This window comes from Homo sapiens, chromosome 1 (assembly GCF_000001405.40).
Source record: "Homo sapiens chromosome 1, GRCh38.p14 Primary Assembly".
Lineage (NCBI taxonomy): Eukaryota > Metazoa > Chordata > Mammalia > Primates > Hominidae > Homo > Homo sapiens.
Genome location: NC_000001.11, coordinates 190768496 through 190795195, shown reverse-complemented (window position 1 = coordinate 190795195; position 26700 = coordinate 190768496). Strand labels below are relative to the sequence as shown.

At 33.8% G+C, this 26700-nt stretch overlaps 1 long non-coding RNA gene across 1 annotated transcript in view; it reads right to left on the bottom strand.

Annotated features, from left to right (window-relative positions):
* Nucleotides 1-26700, bottom strand: part of LINC01720 (long intergenic non-protein coding RNA 1720) — a 176769-nt gene that overhangs the window by 6463 nt on the left and 143606 nt on the right. Inside the window, exons 3-4 of the long non-coding RNA NR_033922.2 lie at nucleotides 3633-3682; nucleotides 1600-1690 (exon numbers count right to left, since the gene is read on the bottom strand). This is a non-coding gene — a long non-coding RNA (long intergenic non-protein coding RNA 1720). The remainder of the gene's footprint in view (nucleotides 1-1599; nucleotides 1691-3632; nucleotides 3683-26700) is intronic.

Here is a 26700-nt window from a genome sequence, read left to right as displayed (position 1 = left end):
AGATCTGTTCACTGTTTTATAATTTTCCATTTCATAGACTTGAAGTCCCATTTGCTCATAGGTAGATTTTATTTATTGGTTTCTTCTGAATTGGATGTGGTGGGAAATATTTTTCCCAGGGAATTTCCGCTTGGCAGTCCAAAAGATCTTAAGATCTTGAAAGGGAGTGAGGTGAGTTGGTAGAAAAATGCAGCAGGCCCATTTTTATTCCATCCTCTAATTTAGCCTTGTCAAGAAAACAAGAAAAAGAAACAACTGATATTTTATTTTCTAACTGACTCCAGCGTGAATTTCTCAGTTGGTTAAATACTTGGAGTTGAAAATAATGCTATTAATTAGCACTCACAAACCTAGCATAACATTCTGTCTTCAGTTACATTTATAATTATGGGAATTATATGTTTTTTCCTATAGTTACAATGCTTTATGCTGTCTTATTTGCATTTATCTCCAATAACAACTAACATACTGTCCTGTAATTTGTGCATGTAGTATATACAATAAAATATATAATACTATACATACACATCATATATAGTATAATAATGTGTTATATATGTTACATATATAATGCATTACTATATAGTATATGTAATATACTATATGATATGTAATAAATTATATATGTAACATATAATATTATAATACATTACATATGTAACATATATAATAATGTATTATATGTTTCATGTTAAACATAAAAAACATATTTACATATTTATATTCTATATTCTTTCAGCATATGAGAATGTCCTTAATACATTATATATATGAGTATACATATATTAGCATATATATGAGAATATTCTTTCAGCAGGTATGTATGAGAATTTTCTAACTACAGCTTACATAATTGGACAGAAAACCACATTGTGTTTTGCTTATGCAAAGACTAAAATCTTCCAAGAGACCTATGTATTTGGTTGAAAAATTTGATAACTCACTTGAGAAGCATTGTTACTTATCAGTAAGCATGGTTGCTGAGCTGCTTTTAAAGGATTTTAAGTTCAACTAACAGAATTTCAGTTTTGCTGAATAGAATATGCATGGTATATTTGCTTAGGACAATACAGAAAGGTGAAGAAATTTGTCTTAAAAGGGAAGGGGAAAAGAGAGGTGACATGACTATAAGCCAGTGATGAAATAATTTTATTTTATTTTCCTGAATGTTATAGGACATAAAGCTCCAAGATGTATAATGTAAATCTTATGAATTATTAATTAAGCTTGAAATTATTTTTTGTTTCTTTAGTGATAATTGGGGCAAGTGCTAAGGGTAGTCTCAAGGTGGCTGAACTTAGGCTGAACAGGATGCCCACTTAGATCCATTTACTCTCGGTCAAGTCTGTGTGACAGGTTTATTGAGCACTCAGAACTTGTTGGGGTGCCTATGTGAATGACATTTATTTTTCTTCAATAGCTTCCAACAAATATCTGCTTAATTTCTTTTTAAACCCATTAATACTATTTGAAGTTTATCTCATTAAAACAGACAATTTGCAATGAAAATTGACATAAGGGTCTAAAATATAGAGTATGCAATTTCTAGATCAATCATCCTAATTTAAAACCTCCATTACCTATGCAATCAAACCTTACCTCTCTCTCTGCTCCCAGTACCTGGAGGCTTAGAGGCTTCCATGCCTATTTTCACTCCTCCTCTTCCTTCACTCTTCTTCCTGTATCTACTCTAGAGTTAAGAGTGGGGAATGAAAAAATTGGAGAATGTATTAATTTCCTAAAGTTGCTTTAACAAAGCAACTTGGTTAAGCAGTGTACCACAAGCAGTGTAGCTTAAAACAACTGAAATTTGATACGGGAGCATGGCAGGGAAGTGCTGGGTAGAGAAGAGCGGGGTACCTGGCGGGAGCTCCACCCTCGGGCTTGTGCCCAAGAAACTAAGTGAGGAGAAGCACTCCTCTTTTCATGCCCAAATGTTGCACTTTCAAAGATCACTCTGGCCCACCACGCCCCCCATCCTGTGCCCATAAAAACTCTGAAACCCTAGTGGGCAGACACAAACAACTGGACGTCGAGAGGAGCAGAAGAGCAAAAGAGCTCACTGATAGACACCAGCAGACGCTGGCAGGCCATCAGATGGCGGGACGACATGGAATTCTGTTGCGGGCAGTCAGGGGAGAGCTGGCCACTGGGAGGCCCGACTCCAGGGGAAGACCATCTTTCCACTCCATTCCCATGCTGGCCTCCTCATCCGTCTCACTGAGAGCTACTTCCATCACTCAATAAAACCTTGTACCCATCCTCCAAGCTCACATATGATCTGTTTTTTTCCGGCACACTAGGGCAAGAACCCAAGATACAGAAAGGCCTTTGTCCTTGCAGTAAGGCAGAGGGTATAATTGAGCTGATTAACACAAGCTGCCTGCAGATGGCAAAACTGAGAGCGCACACTGTAACACAGGCCTACTGGGGCTTCAGGAGCTGTAAACAGTCAACCCCAAACACTACCATGGGGCCTGAGACCCAAAACACTCCCTAGAACTGCCAGTCTGCATGCTCCCCCCAGGGGTTTGAGCAGTGGGCCACCTAAGAGGGGAGCCACACCTCTGTCACATGCCCTGCAAGGGGGTGAGGGAACTCCTCCCGTCTCAAATTCACTCTTGCAAACTGTTGTGGAAGTTTGATGTCTGAGGCAAAGGTGTTGGTGGAATTGGTTCCTTCTGAGGGCTGTGAAAGAGGATCTGTTCCTTGCCTCGCTTCTAGTTTTGGGTGACAACCAGCATTCATTGTTATTTTCTTAACTTTTAGAGGCACCAATTCACTCTCTGGTTACACCATCATGTGGTATTCTCCCGGGGGTCTCAGTGTCTCCTTATAAGTACATTAGTTATGTTGGATTAAAGACTCATCCTCCTCCCGTATGGTCTCACCTTAACTAATTACACCTACAGTGACCTCATTTACAAATAAAGTCACACACATCCAGAAGTACCGGGTGTTAGAACTGCAACATATATTTTCCTGAATACACAATTTAACCCATACCAAAGAAATATACAAACAATGATTTTCTCAATTGATGATGCTTTAGTGCTCTCTTGGCTTTCTGGTAAAAAATATATATGATTCTGTGGGGCAGAATACAGTCTCCCTTCTGTGGCCTGATTCTTCGACACGAAAAATTCAGGAACTGACCAATTTCCTACTCAGCACCTGTCTCTGTGGTCTATGCAAGCCTTTTCCTGTTGGAGTTTCCCATTGAGAGACTGACCTCTCAAATTCTGGTAGGGAACCATAAAGTTAATTATATTTAGCTAATTTTCCACTTAAACTATAGGAAACACACCTATCGCCTGACCAAAGCAGGAAACTATCAGCTGATTTGTTGTTTTGTCTTCTTTCTGCCTTGTCATATTTTTTAGAATTTTTTTTCCACTTGCTCAAATTCCTAGAGAAGACTGATCAGCAAATCCATTGAATAATAATAATACATTGAAAGTGAATGGCCTGGCTTTCCATCAGTCACATTATCTTCAAAAATATTTGTTTTGGAGCCCACCTCTTTGACTGGGCAGTGAGGAATGCTTTATAATATTTTAAGAGTCTTTTGATGGCATATTACAAACATCAACACTCAATAGATGAAAGACAGGATTTTTATTGTTACTTACAGCTCTGAATGAGAGAAGGCTTCCAGGCAGGGCCACACAAGGATTGCAACCTAGGGACAGAGTAACAACAAGTTGGAGCTGTTGGGGACGCTCATGCATGGACATCACGTTAGGGTTAGCTAGGTTTTCTGGGCTCCCTATGAACTGGCTAATTTGATAATTTAATAATTTAAGTTGCCTGGAACCTGGCCTTGGAGCAAATAGGGCAAGGGCATAGTAGCCTGGAGTTGAGAGCCCAGTAAGGGGAGAGGCTGTTGTAGAATGGGAACAAACTGGCCTCAATACTGGGTCAAAACAGCACAATTAAAAAACAAAAACAAAACCTTATATTACAGGGAAAAACCCCACTGTTAACCAGTAAGGAACGATAAAGGCATAATCTCTTACTAAGGTCACTGTACCACTATTTATTCTATGTCTTCTGTAATTCCTAAGTCTTCTGCTTGTCTGGGATATTTGAGCATATCATATCCCCTCTGAGGTGTATATCTGGTGGCTCTTGGCTGTCTCCAGCAGTATTTTGGTGATACTCCACTCCCATTTTATTCAGCTTTGGTGCTTTAGGAAAGAGCTTTCCATCTTTTTGTGACAATAATTAAAATGTTCCATTTGATTTTTTTTGTAATGACATTTAGTATGCTCTATTTCTTCAGTAAAATAAAGTTATATCAATTAAACCAATATTCTCTGTCAGAACAGGAAATACATACTAATGTCCTGCACACAAAGATACATTTACTTCTCTTTAATTTATCTCCTTCAACCACAAGTATTCAAACTCTATTACTCTTCCAGTAGATTGAAAAGCATTTCTGGCACACCCATTACTAAATAAATGGTATGTTTCATTATCTTTTCATGATCACAATTTAAAGCTCCTCTCAGGAGATTTTTTAAATGATTCTATAATTAGAGGAGGGGTATCTCTAAGAATCGGTGAGCATTCTCCAGGAGAAAAAATAAAATACTTAGAAAGGGGTTCCTATTCAATCCTTTGCTCTTATTATTTACCACTACTAGTTATCTTAAGAGTTTATTTTGCTTGAGAATACACAGGAAATGAATAAACGGTAATTTTTCTTCCTTAACATTAGGACAACAGAGAATAAAAACTAGTATATTCCTTAAATACTAGTTATTTGATTACTCAAAAAATAAATAAATAAAAAGGTATAAGAGAAAGAAAACAGAAATCCCTAGACAGGCAAATTTGTGAAACTCAACAAAATTAATTCCTCTCTTGCAGCTTCGCAATGTGAATTAACGTATCAAAGGATATGAGGAATTTTGCAGCAAATTAGCTAGACAATATTGATTAATTCACATTTCATTTAAAAAAATTGATCCCGGAGGAAGTTGTTTTCAGCATATAACACTTCAGTGATCCTAGGATATAGTTTTTTAATGTTTAATATCTTTAGAATTGGGAAGCATAGAAATTTGTTAAAATCTTGTTCTCATCTTTGTTCAGGTTGCAATGCAGATATTTTCATCATTGCTTCTATATGTTTAAATTTTTTCATGGCTTTTCATGTTGCTGTCACTTCAGTTTGGTTGTGAATTATTGTCACCATATTTGTTAACTTTAATTGCCACTTAAAATGTTTCAGTTGCTTTCTAAATATCCATGGAAACCATCTAGTTAGATCAAGAGGTCCCTCGTAAGGACCTGTGGAATAACTATCATTAGCTTGAAAGAAGATTTGGAAAACAATAACACAATACTATTTTAAGAAATGTTCAATCACTGGAATTAAACCTATATAAAATTTAAGAAGTTTTAATATATGGCTACGGTTGTTATTAAAATTGAATTCTCTCTCTCTTTCCTTAAACACAGGTGGAATCAACACAGAAATGTTACAGTAAATTGATATGTGTGAAATATAAAAACTTCTTAGATTAAATATAATTAATGCAGAGGTCACTTTTATAGTCCATAAAATATCTAAGCTAGTTTTGATTAAACTCATATAGTTAAGCAAGAAAAATAGACACAACTTTATTTTCCACATTGCAAATTACATAACAAAATTTGTTACCACTTTTTCCTCCAAACAACTTTTGATCATGCCTGTCACTTATGCTCAAGGTCCAAGGCAGTGAGTTAGAATTAGAAAGATGGAAGAAGAGTGGAAATCATTCAATTGGATGGTCAGAGGGGACCATTGAAAAGTGGGAATTTGAGCAAGCTTCAAGGAAATTAAAGGAGTTAGCCACTGAAAATAGCATTGAATGCAACAGAAGAGCTAGCACAAAGTTCTTAAGGTGTAAAACTATTTGACATATTTGAGAGAATGCAAAGAGTTCATCGTTGCTGGGGTACAGCATGTGAAATAGAGATTAGTGGGAAATGATATCAGAGAGGTCATAGGAAACAGATCCTCTAGTGTGAACAACTGTGACAATTTGCCTGCTACTGCACTTGTTTAAGCAATGAAATCCCTTTCTCTCAGGAAACCCCTCAATCTCAGGAAAACTAAGATATCTGGTCACCCTGTAAGAATTTGTGTAAGCCAACTAACAATTTAATAAGAGAAGTCAATAATATCTTCTGCTTGTTTGGCCTGAGGACTTGCAAGATGGAGTTAATATTACCTAAAATGGACCATGAATGAGATGGGTTTGTAGGAAAAAAATTATATTTGGAACATGTTAAAACTGAGATATCTGTAAGCAGTTGGATATGAGTTTAAAATTCCTAGGAATAAAGTTGTCAGTCTTTAGATCAAATGATATCAAAATTATAAAATTAGATATGATAACTAGTGTAGATGTAAAAGAGGGACAAATATTGAGTCCTAGAAGACAGGCTGGAGATAATTGGTGAACTTAAAAGAGTGGTTCTAATAGAGTTGGAGATGAAGATTGATTATATTGAATTTAAGAAAGAATGGGAATGGGGAGAACAACTGGAAACAATCAAAATAAACTATTTCAAGGGTCTTTGCTACAAATGAAAGAGAGATATGGGGACATAGCATGAATAAGAAATGAAATAATATATTTTTTAAAAAAGAAGAAAGATAACAAAAAGGAAAAGAATTATTTATACACTGAGGGAGGAAAAATTAATGATGCAGATTAGAAGAAGAAGAAACTATTGTATTTGTATCCTTAATTTGGAAAGCAGGAATGTGCAGAAATACATTTTATGTAAAAGGATGTTAGTTGATCCTTTGTAAGGTGACTGGAAAAAGTAAGTAAAAAAAGATACAAGTGTAGATTTTAGAAGTTGTGGGTAAATGTGGTGATGAAAATCTATAGAAATTTTTATTATGATCACTTCAAGGCTTTTAGTAAGCAAGGTCATCATCTGAGAATAAGGTTGGGAAAGAAAGTATGGAAGGTTTAAAAGAGATAAAGAAAAAGATGAGTTGGTTTTCTAAGAGAAAGAAATATGCTTGAGAGAAACAAATTATTGCCCTTAGGCAGTGCTACAGGTCTATTGAGGTTATATTCATCATTTGAAGTGAGACGAGTCATTATGATTTGGAGTTTTTGTCCAGTTACTTTCACCTACATTAGTGCAAGAAAAGAGTAAATAAATGCTTAGTTTGGTCAGTGTTATGATTTGGGCAAGAAAGCAGAGCTACGTGAAAAAATGCAAGAATGTTTGATGGTATATGAGTGTGGTTAAAATGAATGACCGTGAAATTGAAAATGCATAAGCAAGAAAGAGAAAGCATAGAAGTTAGTGAAAACATTGATGAATACACATATTATGGGTCCTGATAGTTTTGAAGGATTCTGTAATGCCAAAAGAAGTCACCTGGAAAGAAGTTGGAAGTAATTAGAAAAATGAGTGCAAAAAATGAGGATATTATAATACACATATAGAGGGTATAACCCTGAGAATAGATGAATCGTTGAGACAGAGGAGATAACAAGATCACGGGTGGAGATAAATTCATGAAAATTAGAGTTTGTGGTGTGTGAGGATTTCTATAGTTCTATAGAAATTGTCAATAATTAAGACTAAATAAGAATAATAAGAGTAATATGAAGACAGAAGCAAAAATAAAGGCCCCTTGCTGTTAGTACATGATACAGAAACAATGAGGTGTAAAGTGTGATACAACATGATGACAGACTTCAACACGGGAAGTTTGAAAGGAAAGTAAAAAAAAATATGAAGTTGCAATGAGGTACTAAGAAGTCACCCACCCTCTTACAGCCACCCTGACCTGGAGGCTGTAGGAAAGAGAAAAATAACTCTTCTTAAGAAGGGGCAGGATTATCAGTATCCTATGACAAAAGCCAAGAGATAATGTGAAGAAGGCTTTTAGAGCCAAAGTTGAGGATACGAAGTGTTTCCATATTGGTGGAATGTTGAAGGCCTTCCAGATTCATGGAAAGGCAAGAGAAGGGATGGAAAGGAGATGAACTATATGGGGTGTAGAGGATGGAGAAGATGATGGATAACCAAGACGACTATAGCTTCTTATGACAACAATAATAAACAGAGCAAAGGGCATAATCAAATTGACTCTGGTGAACCCAAAGACATTGATTGGTATTAGCAGGCTGGGTCTATTTTCAGGGTAAGGAAATGTAGGGCAGCTTTATCTCAGAGATGTATCCACATCTTTCTTTTCTTCTGCAAATTAAAGACGTGTGCAATTGCATAATAGTTCATTATTAATTTAATAAACATGTTTTAAGGTAAACTGCTATTATCTAAGTCTGAAAATGGCTCTACAATGATCACTTAGCCTTCTTTGTTACTTTTCCTTTTCCACTGTTTTTTCTTGCTTGCTTTTTGTGTTTTTAAAAATATTTCAAATTTTACTGTAGATTTGAAGAGTACATTGCAGATTTCTAACATCGGTATTTTGCATGATGACGCAGTTTGGAGTATGCATGATCCCATCACTCAGGTAGTGAGAACAGCACCCAATAGGTAGCTTTTCAGCCCTTGCTCTCCTCCCTCTCTACCCACTCCAATAGTCCCTGGTGTCTATTGTTCCCATCTGTATGTTCATATGTAGCCAGTGTTTAGCTTCTACTTACAAGTGACAATATGCAGTATTTGGTTTTCTGACCCTGCATTAATTTGCTTAGAATAATGGCCTCCAGTTGCGTCCATGTTGCTGCAAAAACATGATTTCATTCTTTGTTGTGGCTGCATAGTATTCCATGATGTATATATACCACATTTTTTTAAATCCAATCCACCCTTGATGACACCAAAGTTCATCCTATGTCTTTGCTATTGTGAATAGTTCCGTGATGAATATATGAGCACATGTGTCTTTTTATTAGAACAATTTACTTTCTTTTGGGTTTAAACCCAGTAATAAGATCACTGGGTTTACATCCAATTGGTCAAATGGTAGCTCTGTTTTAAACTCTTGAGGAAATCCACAAACTTCTGAGAAAAGTGGCTGAACAAATTTATAATCACACCAAAAGTGTGTAAGTGTTTCCTTTTATTAGCAGCCTTATCAGCATCTGTTGTTTCTTGACTTTTTTCTAAGAACCAGTCTGACTGGTGTGAGGTGGTATCTCACTGTAGTTTTGATTTGCATTGCATTTCTCTGACAATTAGTGATGTGGAGCAATTTTTTTTCATATGTTAGTTGTTGACTTATATGTATTTTGATGAGCAGTGTCTGTTCACTTCTCATTTGTCCACTTCTTAATGGGGTTATTTGGCTTTTGTTTGTTGAATTGTTTAAGTTCCTTATAGATTCTGAATATAGACCTTTGTCAGATACATACTTTGTGGATATTTTCTCCCATTCTATAGGTTGTCTGTTTACTCTGTTGATAGTATCTTTTGCTGTGCAGAAGCTCTTTAGCTTAATTAGGTCCCATTTTTCAATGTTTGCTTTTGTTGCAATTGCTTTTGAGGACTTAGTAAAAAATTTTTTGTAAAAGCTGATGTCTAGAATGATATTTCCCAGGATTTTTTCTAGGATTATTATAGTTTAAGGTCTTACATTTAAGTCTTTAATCCATCTTGAGTTAATTTTTGTATGTGGTGAAATGTAAGAGTCCAGATTCATTCTTCTTCATATGGTTAGCCAGCTATTCCAGCAGCATTTATTAACAGGGAATTCTTTCCCCGTTGCTTATTTTTTGTTGACTTTGTCAAAGATCAGGTGGCTATAGGTATGCAACCTTATTTTGGGGTTCTCTATTCTGTTTCATTGGTCTATATGTCTATATGTGTACTAGTACCAAGCAGTTTTAATTACTGTAGCTTCATAGTATAGTTTGAAGTTGGGCCATGGGATTCCTCCAGCTTTGTTCTTTTTGCTTATGGCTGCATTGTCTACTTAGGCTAATTTTTGGTTCCATATAAATTTTATAATAGCTTTTTTTTAATTCTGTAAAAATGACATGGGTAGTTTGATAGAAACAGCATTGAATCTGTACATTACTTTGGGCATTATGGTCATTTTAATGATATTGATTCTTCCACTCCATGATGATGGAATATTTTTCCATTTGTCTGTGTTGTCTATGATTTCTTTCAGCAGTGTTTTGTAGTTCTCAATAAATTGTTTTTCTAAGTATTATGTTAGATCAGTATTTTGACATCCTTCTAGCATTTCAATGTAGGCATTTAGCACTATAAACATTACTGTCAGCACCACTTTCCTGGCATACAATAGATTTTGGTATGTTGTGTCTCTGTTTTCATTTATATCAAATATTTTTTTTGATTTCTGCCTTAATATCATTATGTACCTATCACTTGGCAGCAAATTGTTTTATTTCCATGTAATTGTGGACTTTTAAGAAATCTTCTTTGTTTTAATTTTTTTCCACTGTGGTCTGAAAGTATGATTGGTATTGTTTCAATTTTTTGAATTTATTGAGACCTGCTTTATGGACAAGCACGTAGTCAATCTTAGAGTATATTTTCTTTGAGATGAGAAGAGCGTATATTCTATGGTTGATGGGTAGAGCATTCTGTAGATGTCTATTAGGTTCAATTAGTCAAATGCTGAATTTAAAGTCCAGAATATCTTTGCAGTTTTCTGCCTCAATGTTTCATCTAACACTGTTAATGCAGTGTTGAGGACCCCCCTCTATTATTGTGTCACTAAGTATTTTCTTAGGTCTACAAGTACTTGTTTTATGAATCTGTGTGCTTTACTGTTGGGTAAATATATATTTCAGATAGTAAAGTCTTCTTGTTGAATTGAACCTTTTATCATTATGTAATGCTCTTTGTTGTACTTTTTTACTGTTGTTTGTTTAAAGTCTGGTTTATCTGATAAAAGAATAGCAACTCCTGCTAATTTTTGTTTTCCATTTGAATGATAGATCTTTCTCTATCTTTTACTTTTAGCCTATGAGTGTTGCGTAGCCATGAGATGTGTCTCTGGAAGAAAGCAGGTTGATGAGGTATTTTTTTAACCCCACTTGCCACTCTGTGTCTTTTAAGTGGGGGCGTTTATACTATGTACATTGAAAGTTAATATTGATATGTGAGGTTTTGATGCTATTGTGAAGTTGTTGGCTGGTTGCTTTGCAGTTTCTATTATGTGGTTGCTTTACAGGGTCTGTGGGCTATGTAATAAAGTGTGTTTTTGTGGTAGCAAGGATCATTCTTTCATTTCCATATGTAGAACTCCCTTAAAGTTTTCTTGTAAGGTTGATCTAGTGGTAAGAAATTCCCTAGCTCTTAGTTGCCTAGAAAATATTTGATTTTTCCTTCTCTTATGCAACTTAGTTTCCTGGGATAAACTTAGTTTGGTGGGACAATTGATTTTTTTTCTCTTTAAGAATGCCAAAAATAGGCCTCCAATCTCTCCTTGCTAGTAAGGTTTCTACTGAAATGTCCGCTGTTAGTATGATTGGGTTCCCTTTGTACATAATCTGCCCATTTTCTCTGAGTCTTTAAGATTTTTTTTTCTTTAGTGCTGACTTTGGAGAGTCTGGTGACTATATTCCCTGGTGAGATATGTTTTGTATAGTATCTTGCATGTGTTCTCTGAATTTTTTGTATCAATATGTCTACCTCCACCAAGATTAGAAGATTAGAAGAGTTTTCTTGAATCATTCCCTCAAATATGTTTTCCAGGTTATTTGCTTTTTCTCCTTCTCTCTCAGTAATGCCAGTAATTTGTAGATTTGGTCACTTTACATCATCTCATATTTCTCAACGACTGTTCATATTCTTAAATTCCTTTTTGCTATTTTTGTGTGAGTGGGTTAGTTTGAAAGACTGGCTTTTAAGTTGGGAAATTACTTCTTTTTCTTGGTCTGGTCTATTGATATAGATTTCAATTGTATTTTGAACTTCCTTAAGTGAGGTTTTCAATTTCAGAAGCTCTGATTAATTTATTTTTAAGATGTTTATCTCTTCCTTCATTTCCTTGGGTGATTTGGAAGTTTTCTTTGTGTGGTTTTTCAGCATTGTCATGGATCTTGTAGAGCTTCTTTGAAATCCCTGCTTTGAATTCTTTCTCTGTCACTTCTGACTTTCCAGTTTGGTAGGAACTGTTGGTGGAGAGAGTTAGTGTGATCCTTTGGTGATGTCACTACATTCATATTTTTCACAGTGCTAGAAGTCTTGCATTGGCTCCTCATCTGAAGACACTGGCACTTCCAATTTTTGCAATTATTTTCATGTGGATAGCAAATTGTGTCCTTGCCTTTTTCTCTATGATATTACTGTATTTCATTTCAGTTCCTCCCCTTCCTTCAGGGAGTGACTGTAGAGAATGCTGAGTAGGGTCTTTTGGCTTTGCTTCTATGGCCCTATGCACTTCTGTCACCAGTTTTTTACTGGGTTGCGTAGTTTGACTTACAAGCCAGTAGATTGTGCTTATAAGTAAGAGCCAACTATGGATAATGGGGCTGGGTATATACCTGATCCTTGTTTACCAGGAGAAGCTCTCTGTTGCCTCAGACAATGGGTTAAGCCATGAAGTGCAAAGTGACCTGAGCTGTGTGCTCAGACACTGAGTGGGGAGAAGATGGATGAGGAAGGACCATGCAAGCCCACCTACAGGTCCTACAATGGCAGGCACAAACACCAGTACTGAGGGAGAATCCAGCGAGTGGCCACCAAGCACCCAGAGGTGTGACTAAGTGTGGAGCTGAGAATCCTCCTCAGCCTCAAGTTCTCTGCATAGGGAGGAGGGGCAGCCTAAACTTTTATTCCAGGATAATGGGTGTTCAAGATACCTGGAGATATGGCAAGGAGTCAGGTGTTGATAGCCCTGCTGCACCACAATCTCTGCACATGAAGGGTGTGGAGGCTTAGCCTGTTGATCCAGGGGAATGGGTATTCCAACTTCCTGGGGATGTGCCTGAGTGTGGAATGGTGAGGGCCCTGCTGCATCACAGTCTTTGCACAGGAAGGGCGGAGTTGTTCAGACTGCTGATTCAGGCTAGCAGCTGCTTGGAATGCATGTAGATCTGCAGGGGCATGAAGCAGAGGGGGCCCTACTGCACCATGATCTCTGCACAGGAGAAAGCAGGTGCTCTGAATGCCTGGAGATCTGCCTGGGCATGGAGTGGGAAAGGCCCCGCTTCACCATAGTCTCTGCATGTCAATGGTGGGGTGGCTCAGGCTGCTAATCCAGGCAAGCAGACATTTTCCTACTGTTTTGAATGAAGAATCTCATTCAAATTCTTGGGCAATGGAGCACAACTCTCCCCTCCCACACACCTCTATGCATACGGCAACATATCTGGGATTGGCAGCACAAAATGAACTATCCCAGGTCACATAAGAAACCTGGATGTCATTATAGCACTTGTCGTTTTTCACTATTTGTCTAAAACGTGCTGTTATACCATTCACCTCATGTGTGAGGCTGAGGTGTCTGAGCTGTCCCTACAGCCACAGAATTATTTGTTGAGAAGCCCCAAGACACCTCCAAATCCTGAGGCTTCTTAGAAAAGAATATTTTAATCTCTTAGCACATTTTTTAACATTTCTTTGTTTAAAAAATGATATACTAAGTAATTCAACATTACAGAAGATATATATTCAGCAGAAGAACCAATCTCAAGTTTTGATGGTGTATGAGTGATAAAATATATACCAAAATAAAATTGAATTTCAAATTGTTTTTTTCATATAGTCTTTTCATCCTTGTCACATTACACAAATATCCTGATACTTGAAGTAGTTATTAAAATTTCTGGTTATCAAATACACTAAAATGTCCACTGTGTTTTTTTTATATTATATATTCTTATTAAAGGTGCCAAGCCCTCTTTACTATAAGAGTATCATAAAAATAAAATAAGATAAAAGATTTTTGAACGTTAAGCACAGTGATTTTTTCTCAATATTTTTTACTATCTGGAACATTTCTTTCATAGGAAAGAAACCCCCCCAAACAGTTCTTGCTTTGAAATGCGTGTTTAGATATTACAACTTACAGAATTAATGCAATATAATTTACTCATTCTAAAATACCTTAGTTACATACATACCTAAACTCATACAAGTTGTTTCATATACAATTCAATAAAAAGGAGCAGTTTAGGAATTTGGTCTTTGATGGACAGAATGAATAAGATAAGATTTATCTTAAATATATGAAAATAGAAAACCAGTGTTACTGATATAATAAAAGAAAAATACAGGAAAAAAATTATTAGTGAGCAAAGCAGTACTCAGGAGAAAGTGAGAAGAATTGTACCACCATAAAGCATGTTCTTTTGCTTTAGTAGGCACACTAAACATAATATATGGCAGGTCTAATTAAACACTGGAAGGCATGATTATCAATAATTAATCTACTAAAAATTAGAAATCTTTTAATTCCAAAGCAAAACCAAAATACCTACTATTATAATTTTAGATTGAGATGGAATATATTAGAAAACAATAACTGCTATGGAAATAAATTAAGCAAGGAAAGAAGATTGACAAGGGTGTTACAGAGAAGAAAAAGAAAGCCTTCACTGAGAAGGTCCTATTTGGTGAAGACTGAAATATAGTGCTTCAGATGGAGGGGAAAAAAGAACATGGGTAAAGAACTGAGGGGTATGTTAGGAAAATTGAAAAAAAGCAACAGAACCAAGAAGCTTAGAGCAGGAAAAATTAGTCAAAGATGATGCCAGAGAGGTAAAGGAAGGCCAGATAAAATAGGTTCTGTTGGAAGGGCTTTATTTGGCTGTCATTATGGGGAAACCAGTTGTCATTGGAACACTTTGAAAGGAGGAAGAACAAGATGTATCTTTCACATAAATAAGTGACAGTAACCTGTTAGAGGCATAGCACAGGTGAAAAATGGGGTAAGACTTAAGGTTTCCATCAGAGTTCCTGGCATGGGTCAGGGTTAGGAGGGGTCAGATTCAAGGAATTTTGAAGAAACAGCTAACAGAGTTTGCTGATGATTTCATGTGGGGTAAAATAATAAGAGAAGTACAAAATGTCAAAGTTTCTGGCATGAACCACTGGTAGAATACTATTTTTTATTAACTAAGAAAGAAACAATTGTAGAAGAAACAGGTTTGGTGAAGCAGGAAAAAAGTGAATCCCAGAATTGTGATTTTTTAATATATTATATTTTATGAATAATATTTAAGTGATCTTAATAATAATGAATACAATTAAGTCCCAAGTTATTTCTAAACAGCTAAATGTTTTCAGAAATTTAATTTTAGGGCTGTCTTAAATTATTTAATTTAGCTTATATCAAAGGTTATAGTTTTCTAATATATAGATTTTTTCTTTCACCTAATTATATAGATATAATTTGCTGAATATTTAGAAAGTGAAATACCCAAATTATTTTAATTTACTATTACTGCATACCAACTTACCATAATCATGGAGGCTTAAAACAATACCCATTAATAATCTAACAATTTTCATGGGTCAAGATTTTAGGTATGTGTTAACTGCTCAGCATCTCACAAGACTGTAATGAAGTCTTGACCATACTGTGGTGTTAGACATGCTGTGGTTCTAAGAGGCTCGACTTGGGAAAGATCCACTTCCAACCTCATTCAAATTATTAACAAAATTCATTTCCTTGTGATAGTATGTCTGAAATGACTGAAGTCCCTGTGTTTTGTCTAGCAGTCAGCTGGAAACCACTTTCACTTCCCAGAGGCTGCTCACATTTTCACGCCATGTCTAATCACTCCTCCCATAGGAAATTTCTAAAATCAATGTTGCTCTCTTTAGGCTACAATGCATATAACTGATGCTTCATCTTTTAAAGCTGTCTTTGATTAAGCCAGATCCAAGCCAACCTTCATTTTTCATTAACTCAAAGTCAACTAGTTAGTTACCTAATCACAAAAATAATATCTCATATATTCACAGGTTTTTTCCCCACTCCAGGGGAGGTGAGCACTCAGGACATTTACATGGGACCTGTAACCTTGGGGACCATCTAAAAGTCTTGCTTACCACATCTACCCACAAATGTATCATCTTACTCATGAGAATTTAGAATAATGCTACTTAGAACAACAATATAACACACAAGTATATAGGTCATGGTATATTTATTTATTTGATTCAATCTTTCTGTAATATTTCCAGTGGTATTAACCAATACTCCATAAATACATTTAGTTGTGAAATTGAGTAAAATAGGTACTTCTTAGAAATCAGAGAAAAAGTTGACCTTTGTATAATTTCCACTGACAAAAAAACGTAAGCAACATTTAGGATATAATGTAACATTGGTTCCTTCTTTTGTCTGAAAGAATCTAAGAAGGGGATAAAATGCCTTTATTGAAATGCAATATGAACTTATATTTTTCCTGTAACCTAAGATTAATGAGCATATGATATTTTGATAAATGTGCCATTAAAATAGAAAAGGTACACAGAAAGAGTGAAAGATAAACATTAATATGAAGGAGCAGATTTTTTTTCATATCATAATTCAGGCTTTCATCAGAGACTCCTAATTACAGTCTGTAGACTGGTATTCTTGCAGTTCAAACCATTAACCTTCATCTGAAGCACTGGTTTCTGCATAAGGTACATTGTCTTTGCAATGCTGTTTCTCTGTGAAAGTCTGTGCTTGCTTGCAGAAGGAAAAGACTACTGAATGGATTTAGGGCTTATTTTCTGTTCCAAAGCAAAAACTGAAAAGACTAAAAAAAAAAAAGAAAAACACTCCCAGAAAACCTCCATTCCCACTCCCCAACAGTTCAGAATGAGGCTAAGCTATTTAGCCATTTTCAAGGAAAAACAAAAATATCTTAATTACAGAATCAGTAATAATGTATTGCTAAAAAATAGTATGCATAAAAGTGAAGAGAAATACAAAGAGAATTAGAGGAATAGTTTAAACAGTTCCTAAAAGAATGATGTAAAATTATACAATTAAATTCAAGGCTATTTTTTCCCGAAAGAAAAGAGAAAATGGCATGCCTAAATAAGAGATGCTTTGTTTAAAATGTAGTTTTGGTTTTCTTAATTACTACTTAAGATTCGGATTTTCCTTTTAGTGTTACAAGGGCAAATAATCACTAGGTTCTCTCATTTCTATAACACAAGCTTAATGAGATGGTAGAATATTGCATGTCTTAGTTTATGTGTCCCAGACGAGTCTAAATAAAAGCGTTAACAGAAAAATTATTTTATTCATGTAGTCTCTCAATTAACCCTTTAAATACTGTAAGAGAGCTATGATAGTAATGAAACCAAAACATATTTATATTATTTTCTTGCTAATATAAAGATGTATATATCTTTTCATTAAACAAATGCATACAATAAAATAATTTTAATAATGCTAATTAAGGTCATAATTTAAATGGAAGTATGATTCTAGATGATTTCTGAGGTTTCTCCTACCTCCAAAATTCTATTTAACTATTGGTAGTTTCCAAAGTATGTATTATCTAAAGGCTTGGTAAATAATGTTTTGTATAAATATTAAAATAATTTTAGTATGTTTAAATGACAAAATATCTTCTACATAATAGTTATGATAGAATCTTTTAGTATATTTTTTCCCAAAATGAAGGAGTTTCATTTTAATTGGTTCTTTTTTATCATATTCTAAGTGAAATGCTTTCAGACACCTTTATCCCAAATATTATTTATTACATTATTAAACATTATTTAGTAAACAGTCCTCAGATAATAACAAGTCATCAGATAATAAAGTACATTTGGAAACTACAAATTAGAATTTTAAAGCTAAAAGGAACATCAGAAATCATTTGGAATCATACTTTCATTTAAATTATGAGGTGAACTTACATCTAAATCAACAAAGTGATTTGTTATAGAAATTAGCAAATCAATAAAATAATCTAATTTAAAACCCCTACTTTGCTAGGGAACAAGTAGAGACTTCGAAAAAACACAGATTCCTGGAAATGAAGTGCAACACTTTTTTATGGCAAATAGTTAAATTTCATGAAGCACTGGCTCTATGATTACTTTCCATAAAGGTTGACAAGCATTATTTTTAAAATACATTTTTAATCTAAACATGTCAGTGGTGGGTTTCTTTTTTTGGTCAAAAATTTAAACTTTGTAGGTTATTTCCTAGTGAGATTTAGAAAGGCAGGCCCTAATTTCAAAGGAGACACAACTGTTATCTCACATTGAAATAAATAATCATAACACCTTTGCTATAAAATTGTTTATATGTTACCTATAATTCTCCCCTCCCTATCCCAAACCCTGAGGTCAAATTTTATGAGATTACATTAAAAACAGATTTTAATATCTGCCATTTACTTAGAGTAATGCATACTTTCAAATAAACTTGGAGAATTAGCAATATTTGGTTTCAACTTTTAGCAGAGCAAATCATCATTATTATTTTTGACACTATATCATTTAATATTTTGCCCTAAACTTCAAGTTGTAAACTATTTCTTTAAATATTTGACAAGTTTATTTAAATCTCATTTCTAAGCTTAAAATTTGTACCTGGTATCTAATAATTGGTGACCATTTGCTGGTTTTTAGCACAACATGAGGCAAAGGTAGATTACAGAACAGGATCTCAATTTTAAACTGCTTTACATTGTGGCCAGGATATATGCAGAAAAAATAATTATATACAATAAAGAAATGGAATTTTATATTTTTAAATTTAGTCAACAGTAGAGTCTACCTCAAAGTTTGCTGTGAGTACTTAGATAACTAATACACAAAAGCAATTTAGCTCAATGCCATGCATATAGCAAACAATTATGTAATCTAGTATAATTATTAAGTCTGATAATGTGGAATGTGATAATGAATAGAATGTTTAGTTTTCCAAGTCCTTTACTATGTGAATGCATTTATTAGTCCTCCAGACTTGAAAAATAACAGATTATATGTTAAAAGCCAAATGTATTTATCAACCTGTTTAACTAAATTTAGTTTAGCTTTTTTAAAGTAAACAACTAAAAGTGTCAATAAATTCTGTCACCTTTAAAACAATATGTCAATAAAAACAGAATGGCATTGCTTTAAGATAATTGCAGCAGACATTTAATTTCTTCAAAGTGCTGAAATTTTCTCACTTTAATGAATCGTGGACATTTCACAGACATCATATTTACTATATTAGGCGACCTTTGCATCAACAAGCAAGAGAAGATTCCTCTAACACAATTCACTTCAGCGTATGTAGTAGCAAAGCTATTAACACTAGTGCCTATATTTAATTATCCAATAAATGTGTGGAAATAAGTGAGGATTGAGTGTAAATGTGAAAATAAAAATAAAGCAATGCTTATTGCAACACAATGAAAAATGATGGAATGAATGAAAATAATAAAGTGTTTTAAGATAATACAACAAAATGGTAATTTTCATAAGCTGGGGAAAAAATAAGTTTTTAAGACACAGTGAACGAACTTTCTAGAACATGGTAGTACTGTGCCATAACATAATTCTATATCATCCTTCCCTGAAACCTAGAACAAGTGTAAACACTTAGATAGGTGTTGTTCTAAGTGCTTTTCATGTATCTACTTGGTTCATGCTATAACCACCTATGAGGTAGGCACAGTTAATAGAGCCCATATTTTAAACATGAGGAGTTAAATAACTTACTTAAGGCCACAGAACTTAGAGTTACCAAAATCTATATTAAAACTTGAGCAGTCTGCCCCAAAATTTGAGCTCATAATCACTGTACTCTAATTCCTCTCTAGTATCTTTGTTTTCTATCTGAATCCTAATATTTTTGCAAGACCTAACACATTAAGTCTTCTCAACTACAGCCTGTGAATGCAAGACTCAAATCAATACTAAGATACATGATTTTGTCTTTTTGGTTATATTCATTCTTTAATGTTCCCGCACACACTCATCTATCATTGTCTATTTTCCTCCTCTTCCTCTACCTCTTCCTCTTCATCATCACCATTGTCATATATCTATAGTTATTTCTTCAAGTGGTCTGGGAGACAAGTGAGGGCAAATAGACTGTCTAAAACTTTATGCTGTATCTTTGTTACCTAATATTTATTTTTGTCATATAATATGCTATATATTTTAGATGAATTATTTATTAGCAGCCATTTTAAATAGACTACTATTCAGTCAAGTTGACACCTAAAATTAAGTTTACAATTTCACCCCTTGTCAAATTTGCAACCATACACATTTCCTTAAATCATACTTAATTGCAAAATGAAGAAAAAAACAAGGTAATAGTTCTGCCTGACATGATGCAACTATCCTGCATACACCTGAAAATGCACTAATCTCTGCCAGAATTCAACTATTAAGATTCCAACTCTCAGGATTCTATCTTTCAGAATTGGGATTTTCAAGATTTTAGGCATTAGTGATGTGGAATTTAGACTGTAGGATTTAGACTGAAGAGATTTTGGTATTTTATGATTTTGATATTTGGGATTATGGCATTCAGAATTGTATTTTCAGAATTATGATTGGCACTGGAATATAGCATGCAATTGAGCTATCTCTGAAAACTCGATATAAACATTTCCATGGTGTGATTTCTGTTGGTCTATGCAAAATTTTTAAGTAAGATAATTGGAATTATTATGTTCCACTAAAATGGTGACTGAATTAATACCTAGAAACCTGGTAAAGCATTATTTTGCTTGTGTCTGTGAGGGTGCTGATTGCAGCATGGACCCAGAGAGAACAAATACACAAGGCAAATTGGTCTTTCTGAGAGCTGGGGCAGATTTTTCTTCTGCTGCCTTGGACATCTTAAATTTGAGTTCACCAAGTGCATTATCACAATGTTGACCCTGAATGTAAGCATTGTGAGTATAACTAAAAATTTTGAAATCTCCTCAGTAAATGAAAAGATATCATTTTTTGGACAACTGCATATACGATGGTGACCTATCGCAGTTTTTCATTGATTTTGTCAAATACTTATGTTGTCCATAGCAGTATTTCAGGTGACCACAGTTATAAAGCTGAGTGCACTCAAATACCAACCATTGTGATATGTGTTTATACATTTAAATTTTTGACTTGTGTTTTTATAAATACAGTTCATCTGCTTATAACTGATATAGCAGTATTATTGTAATTAATAAGCCCAATTATTCTTGTAAAATATGGATGCTATTATTGCCTATTTTATTGTGTAAATTGGACTATAATGTGTTCTGACATGTTTTTCATTTCTGAAATTAATCCTTTTTAAATAAATGGATAAGTATCCTTAATTTTCTTTTATTTTTTTCCAGAATTATACTTTTGAGATTTTGATATTTTGCGATTGTGATTTTTGAGGATTTTAGACAACAAATTTTGATCTTTCAGGATTTCAACTTTAGGGATTATAACATTTGGAATTGTGTCTTTTCAGATTATGGCCCAAACCCACTGTACTCATTCAGTAAGTGATATTATGTAAGTCAAAATAAATTTGATTTTGCTCCATGTAGCTGTCAGCTTTCAATTAGGAATAATTCGACAGAAACATTAATTATAAAATTTAGGTATAAAATGCTGCAAATAAGTTTATCTAATATCAGAGTCAGGTTAATATTCACCAATGACCTTTTGTGGAAGCTTCTTATACCGCAATAATGAAGAATTAGTAATGAATAGAAAGTGATGCAACTGAATCTACTGTGAAAGTTTATTTTCAATATGTATCAAGAGTACTTTTACAAAAGTGAATAACTATTATTATATTTTGTTTAATCCATTCATTGTACTTTTTAATGTTATTTCGCTCTTAAGTACAATCTTTTAAATTTCTTTTTGTGTATATTCTACATGATTAACAACCATAAAATGTGATAGTAAAATTTATCTCTATTTAATTTCTAAGAAAATAAGTGTTAAATTAAATTGTTGTTGGAATGTTTATTTTATTCCTGAATTATAAAAAATACATTTAAAAATGTTTTTATCTCTTACCACTTGCATATTCAAAAAACAAAATAATATATGTAAAGAAATTACACATACCTCAAGAGAATACAGTTATTCCTATTTCTATCTATTTTATAAATTTACCATTAGGGTGGATGCTGACCAAATGGTGGACTCTTTCCAGTTACATGTATGTCCTCCACATTTTACAAAATTTCTTGTTAGTGCTCCATTCTGCCATTCCAGAAGCAAGAGCTGACTTCCCTTTTGGTTAGAAATTTAGCTCATCATTTGCATTTAATCGTCTATTAATTCCCTTAAAATGCTAGATGAAATTTACTTTGAGTTTATTGCCTTCTATTAATATTTTCAATTTAATAGTTTTCCAGAAGCCTAAGTGAAATAGACGCATAAGAAGGAAATTTTACTCTCAAGTCTTTAAAACTTCCACTATGCAGATGCGAAAGACAGATTCCTGCTGCCTCAGAGTCATAAGTGATGATCAGCCCTGTCTATGAATAATATTGAAATTGTAAACAAAATTAAAACACCACTAACAACAAGACTCACTTAAAATAACCAGGTTTAAAATAATCAACTTGAATTGACAGGAATCTGTAACAAAGCTTACAGTTCACTGGATTAATGGGAATCCAAGTGATTGATAAGAAAAATACTATGACTAAGAGGAGTTTATTCTGATGGTTTTACTTTCTGTTGTGATTTGAATAACGTTTTATTTTTCAAATTGTAGTTTTCTCTTTCTTCCATGTGTCTTTGTTTCAAAAAGGCATAGAAAAAAATAAAAACAAAACAATATAGAAATACTCCTGGAACAATATATTTTAAGTGTTCGATATGCCTTCATAAAGGAATAATAAAGAATAAATTCTTTTTCCCAGGTGAAGCTTTTGCCTGGGGTTTCTTCTCCAAGAGCCAAACGTTATTTTTAAAATTTCAACTGCTTTAGGTAGGGAAGTGAATCACTACAGGAGTGCTTGGGTTAGAGCTGATAAGCAGAATGTTACCAGTTATATGCTTGACTTTAAGTCTTAGCCTCCATAAGCATTAGAAGAGAGAATATAGAGACAGAGGTCATTTGAGAACTCAAGTTTCAAAAGAACAAAAGATACAGCTATTCTCAACAACAAATGGTTCCCTTTCTTAATCCACACTTGGAAATGCAATTATTATTATTATTTTTTTTTGAGACGGAGTCTCACTCTGTTGCCCAGGCTAGAGTGCAGTGGCACTATCTCAGCTCACTGCAAACTCCGCCTCCTGGGTTCACACCATTCTCCTGCCTCAGCCTCCCGAGTAGCTGGGACTACAGGCGCCTGCCACCACACCTGGCTAATTTTTTTTTTGTATTTTTGGTAGAGACGAGGTCTCACAGTGTTAGCCAGGATGGTCTTGATCTCCTGGCCTCGTGATCCGCCGGCTTCGGCCTCCCAAAGTGCTGGGATTACAGGTGTGAGGCACCGCGCCCGGCTTCGGAAATGCAATTTTTAGGATTCTATATTATGAACAATATAAACAAAACTTAGGAAAGACAAAAGAGTTATTGCAGTTAATTCCTAAAATCTTCAATCCACTTTTTAAAAGCAAAAGATTAAAGTAATTTTTGCAGGGGATAAATGGTGAAAATATGCAAACTACCAGGCATGGATACTTAACTCTTTAAGGAGGTTTACATAAAAAACCTTCATATTTTAATATGCTGTTTATAAACATTGAACCCTTGCCTTTGTGTATGTGTCTTACAACACACAGATCATGAAAAAAATGTTGTTTTGGTTTACTTCTGAGAAAAAGAAAGGCTTAACTGGAAAAAAAAATAATGAGTACAATTTACAAACAAGAAATTTAATGTCTTAGATATTTTTAAAATTCTGATGTCACTTAGCACAATTTCTGTTTATATAACACAATTTACAAGGATAGACATTATATTTTAATTGGTAGCATTTTTGTGTGTAGTATAGAGTTGCATCCAAAAGATTTTTTTCTCAAATTAAATTTAATTTACAAAATAAATCAAAATATGTCACATTTCTCTTCAAATTCTGCAAGAAACTTACCTTATAGTAATATTAGGTATATCTGTGAATGTTATCTAATTTTGTTTAAATAAGTATATTAAAAAATTAGACAACACTGTTTTTAAAACAAATTTATGTTCCACCAATAAATATTTAAATGTGTCTTTTACTACCAATAGGCAAGAAATGCAAATTTTCATCCTAAAAAATTATGAAAACTTAGAAACCAAATACAACACTGCATACACTTGAGAAATTAAAAACAAAACAAAGAAAACCTGTGTTTATGTTTGTGACAGAAATTATACTTCCAAAAAAAAAAAAAACTAACAAAAAATTGTTAACAAACCACCACAACATAACAAACCACCATATTGATCTTTTTTTTTTTTTTTTTTTTTTTTTTTTTTGAGACGGAGTCTCCCTGTGTCACCCAGGCTGGAGTGCAGTGGTGCGATCTCTGCTCACTGCAAGCTCTGCCTCCCGGGTTCACGCCATTCTCCTGCCTCAGCCTCCGTAGTAGCTAGGACGACAGGCACCCGCCAGCACGCCCGGCTAATTTTATATATATATATATATATATATATATATATATATATATATATATATTTTTTTTTTTTTTTTTAGTAGAGACGGGGTTTCACCGTGTTAGCCAGGATGGTCTCGATTTCCTGACCTCATGATCCTCCTGCCTTGGCCTCCCAAAGTGCGGGGCATATTGTTCTTTTTAAGAATACCTTTCATTGAGTGTATATTCCTATCTAGCTACTGCTTTTTTACTTTACACCACTGGCAAAGCTTCTTGAAAATAATTTTACTATCTCTAAGTGCTCTCAAAATATTCTCCTTTGTTATCTTTTGAACTTATTCTCTTGATTTCCCAAACTCCAGTGAAATCAGTCTCATCAAAGTCATTAATGAAATCTATATTGCTAAATCCGACGGCCAACTCTTAGCCCTTATCTTACTAACCTCTTAGTGGCATCAAGTACAGTGTATCTTTCTGGATGTGCTCTTTATTTAGAAATGGCAGACCCTAATAGAAGCCACATTAGCTTTTCTAGACACTTGTAACATTCTGACTACAGCTTTCTTTCCATATTGAAGAAGTGTTATTAAATTTTTTTTTGGTAGTTTCTTCTATTATTCCTTATCAGTGGCCGCTGACAGTTTAATATTCCTTTCCCTTCTCTTTATATTCTCATTCTCTGGATAATCTCATAGAGACCAATGGCTTACAGTGTGTTCTATATGTTGTATTTTCCATATATATGTCATATGCCCTGATATTTTCTCTGAAATCAAAACCAATTTATCTGTCTTCCTACTCTACCTCTCCAATTAAATGTATTTATAATATATGTATACATTATACATATATATCATATATAAATCTAGTTCTAAAGATCCATCCGAAAGAAAAAAAGGAATATAAAACAGTTGGTTTTCTTTCATTAGAAGACAAAAGTGCCCACAAATTCTAAGACAGCTAGTGAAATTCCATTAGTTCTCAATGGAGAAAAACAACTAGAACTGAAGAGAAGAAAAAAGAACAGATTAGGACAATTAAAAAATGAATACAGGTCAACTTTTAGAATACATGGTAAATGACTTAATATCCTATTAATTTTTATAATTATTTATCTTTTTCTTAAAGTTGATTAACAAAACACAATTTCAAGCAGGTAATTTTTAGTGCCTTGACATTAAAAATATTTTTCCAAATTATTCAAATTAATATCTATTGATATTACTCTTCACATTTACATTTCATTCATGTACTTATCATGGAATTGTGTTAAAATAAAACTGGCATAGAGATACAGGGAATTAATTATGTCTCAAACTTATAAATGTACATCTCAAATTGTAAAAATAGGACTATACAGGATTTCTAAAATGAAGACTACTAGACACAGGCATTTATTTTGCTGTAGTTGTTCATCAGTATACTTTACATAGGGACTAAATTCTTGCCTAACAAGACATTGAAGTAAGGAATGGCTAAGTATCTTCTGCAATACTGCAGTTCCCCATATTGGGACAGTTGTCAAATTCTACATATGTGTTATTTCTTATCTTTAAGTTATTGTAGAAAACAACACGCAAAAAAAAAGAAAGAGAAAAGATGGCAAAACACAAATATGTAACCTGTCCTTTTTAGCATCATGCAAATGAAAATGATCATATATATGATAGCTTAAATATCCAATTATAATATTGCTTCATTCTTCTGAAATAAAAGCTAGGACATAAAAGTTGTTCCTAAAATAATTAAAATATGTATCTCATATCTTATTAGAAAATCTAATTAAGGTTAATCAAATATACTTGTAAGGGACTTAAATAGTTTGTGTATAACTCATGTCTTTTGCAGACTTTTTGTTTATTCGAACAGAAGAAAAGTGATTGTGTAGAATCTTTCCTAATTTAAGCCATAAAAATCTCTCCCAGATCAAGATTAAATTGTTCAAGTACAGTGAGATTCATCTATAGGCAATGCCAATAGTGTAATGTCACAAAAGTCCCAATTCTTCTACCTGTATAGTGCACTTGGGAATCCTGTGAATATTAGAACATCTTGATTTCTTCCATCAAAATTTTTCATTCTTACCCTTCTTGAATTTCAACCCCACTAAAATCAGTCTTGCTATGTCTTTCTTCCAAATATTAGTAGACAAATTTTGAAAACACTATCTTTGTTTTTCTTTGAAATCAAATAGATCCCATGCTTTTTCTTAATATTTCTGATATATAGTGTGTGTGCATTAGTACTGGCAGAAATCAGTGCACAGTGTTTCAC